This window comes from Homo sapiens, chromosome 7 (genome assembly GCF_000001405.40).
Source record: "Homo sapiens chromosome 7, GRCh38.p14 Primary Assembly".
Lineage (NCBI taxonomy): Eukaryota > Metazoa > Chordata > Mammalia > Primates > Hominidae > Homo > Homo sapiens.
Genome location: NC_000007.14, coordinates 37,809,346 through 37,812,992, shown reverse-complemented (window position 1 = coordinate 37,812,992; position 3,647 = coordinate 37,809,346).

The window sequence follows — 3,647 nt, the reverse complement described above, 5'->3', positions numbered from 1 at the left end:
GGGCATTATGGGCATTTTTACAATATTGATTATTCCTATCCATGAGCACAGAATAGTCTTCCATTTGTTCATATTATCTCTGATATCTTTCAGCAGTGTTGTGTCATTCTTATTGTAGAAATCTTTGACTTCCCTAGTTAGCTGTATTCCTAGGTATGTTATTCTTTTAGTGCCTATTGTGAATGGGATTGTGTTCTTAATTTGGCTCTCAGCTTGGGACATTATTAACATATAGAAATGTGACTGATTTTTGTACATTGATTTTGTATCCTAAAATTTTGCTGAAGTTGTTTATAGAACTAGGAGCCTTTGGGCAGAGACTATGGGATTTTCTAGGTATAGAATATATCATCTGTGAAGAGAGATAGTTTGACTTTCTCTCTTCCTATTTGTCTGCCTTTTATGTTTTTCTCTTGCCTGACTGCTCTGGATAGAAGTTCCAGTACTGTGTTGAATAGGAGTGGTGAGAGTGGGCATCCTTGTCTTGTTCCAGTTTTCAAGGGAAATGATTCTAGCTTTTGCCCATTCAGTATGATGTTGGCTGTGGGTTTGTCATAGACAGCTCTTACTATTTTGAGGTATGTTCCTTTGATGTCTAGTTTATTGAGGGTTTTTACATGAAAGGATGTTGAATTTTACCAAAAGCCTTTTCTGCATCTATTGAGATTATCTTGTGGTTTTTGTTTTTGGTTCTGCTTATGTGATGAATCACATTTATTGATTTGCATATGTTGAAGCATTCTTGCCTCCTAGGAATAAAGCTTACTTGATCATGGTGGATTAGCATTTTGATATGCTGCTGGATTTGGTTTGCTAGCATTTCGTTGAGGATTTGTGTGTCTATGTTTATCAGAGATATTGCCCTGAAATTTTCTTTTTCTGTTGTGTCTCTGCCAGGTTTTGATATCAGAATGATGCTGGCCTCATAGAATGAGTAAGGGAGGAGTCCCTTCTCCTCAATTTTTTGGAATAGTTTCAGTGGGAGTGGTACCAGCTCTTCTTTATATGTCTGGTAGAATTTGGCTGTGAAACTCTCTGGTCCAGGGCTTTTTCTGCTTGGTAGGATTTTTATTACTGATTTAATTTCTGAACTCATTATTGGTCTGCTCAGAGTTTCAATTTCTTCCTGGTTCAATCTTGAGAGGTTCTTTCCAGGAATCTATCCATTTGTTCTCTGTTTTCAAGTTTGTGTGCATACAGGTATTTGTAATAGTCCCTGAGGGTTTTTTGTATTTCTGTGGACTCAGTGGTTATGTCCCCTTTGTCATTTCTTGTTGTGTTTATTTGGATCTTCTCTCTTCTTTTCTTTACTAGTCTGGCTAGTGGTCTACAAGTCTTATTTACTTTTTCCAAAAAAACAATGTTTGATTTTGTTGATCTTTTGTATGGTTTTCTCTTACCTCTATTTCATTCAGTTCAGCTTTGATTTTAGTTATTTCTTTTCTTCTGCTAGCTTTGGGGTTGGGTTGCTCTTATTTTTCCAGTTCCTCTAGGGGTGACATTAAGTTGTTTATTAAAGTTTTTCTAAATTTGATGTGGCCATTTAGTGCTGTAGACTTTCCTCTTAACAATGATTTTGCTGTTTCCCAGAGATTCTGGTGTGTGGTATCTTTGTTTTCATTTATTTCAAAGAATTTATTGATTTCTGCTATAATTTCATTGTTTACCCCAAATTACTCAAGAACCAATTGTTTAATTTCCATGTAATTGTATGGTTTTAAGAGATGTTCTTGATGTGGATTTTAGTTTTTACTGTGTCGTGTTCTTTTTTTTTTTTTTCTTTTAAGACGGAGTCTTGCTCTGTCACCCAGGCTAGAGTGCAGTGGCATGATCTCAGCTCACTGCAACCTCTGCCTCCCGGGTTCACGCCATTCTCCTGCCTCAGCCTCCCCAGCAGCTGGGACTATAGGCACCCGCCACCACGACTGGCTAACTTTTTTGTATTTTTAGTAGAGACGGGATTTCACCGCATTAGCCAGGATGGATTGTGTTGTGTTCTGAGTGTGTGGTTGGTATGAGTTGTTTTTTAATTTGTTGATAATTGCTTTGTGGCCAAGTGTGTGATCAGTTTTGGAGTATGTGCCATGTGCATAGGAGAGGAATGTATATTTTATTCTTGGGTGAAGTGTTCTATAAGAGGATTTTAGGTCCATTTAGCCAAGTGTCAAGTTTAGGTCTCAAGTATCTTTTTTAATATTCTGCCTTGATTATCTGTTGAATACTGTCGTGGAGTGTTGAAGTTTCCCACTATTATTGTATGGTAATCTAAGTGTCTTTGTAAGTCCTTTAAGATCTTGTTTCATGAATCTGGGTGCCACAATGTTGGGTGCATATGTATTTTGGATAGTTAAGTCTTCTTGCTCAATGAAACCCTTTATTATTATGCAATGCCCTCCTTTGGTCTTTTTGATCATTGCTGGTTTAAAGTCTGTTTTCTTGGAGATAAAAATAGGAACCCCTGCTCTTTTTTGTTTTCCATTTGTTTGATACATCTTTCTCCATCTATTTACTTTGAGCTTATGTGTGTACTTGCATGCGAGATGGGTTTCTTGAAGTCAGCATATAGTTGAGTCCTGTTTCTTTTTTTTTCCTCTCCCAGTAATTTAATTTCCATTAATGGTATATTAAACATTATATTTTCAATCATTTTCAGGTTTAGTCAGCTACTTAAAAATAGGCTTTTTTCCACATAAATAAATTGTATACCATTTAACATGTTTTATTTCAACAGACTAATAGATCTTTTAATACTTCTTAGTCCTCAAAATAAATTATTAAAAACTTTGTATTTCATGTCATATTATATAAGGAAATAGAATTTTGAAGAATAATTCATGCTGTTTTAAATTTTTACATTGTACATTTTAATAGCTAATCAACTCTTTTTTTAATATTCTTTTTTTTTTTACTTTTTTTTATTATTATACTTTAAGTTTTAGGGTACATGTGCACAATGTGCAGGTTAGTTACGTATGTACACATGTGACATGCTGGTGCGCTGCACCCACTAACTCGTCATCTAGCATTAGGTATATCTCCCAATGCTATCCCTCCCCCCTCTCCCCACCCCACAACAGTCCCCAGAGTGTGATGTTCCCCTTCCTGTGTCCATGTGTTCTCATTGTTCAATTCCCACCTATGAGTGAGAATATGCGGTGTTCAGTTTTTTGTTCTTGCGATAGTTTACTGAGAATGATTTCCAATTTCATCCATGTCCCTACAAAGGACATGAACTCATCATTTTTTATGGCTGCATAGTATTCCATGGTGTATATGTGCCACATTTTCTTAATCCAGTCTATCATTGTTGGACATTTGGCTTGGTTCCAAGTCTTTGCTATTGTGAATAGTGCCGCAATAAACATACGTGTGCATGTGTCTTTATAGCAGCATGATTTATAGTCCTTTGGGTATATACCCAGTAATGGGATGGCTGGGTCAAATGGTATTTCCAGTTCTAGATCCCTGAGGAATTGCCACACTGACTTCCACAGTGGTTGAACTAGTTTACAGTCCCACCAACAGTGTAAAAGTGTTCCTATTTCTCCACATCCTCTCCAGCACCTGTTGTTTCCTGACTTTTTAATGATTGCCATTCTAACTGGTGTGAGATGATCTCTCATTGTGGTTTTGATTTGCATTTCTCT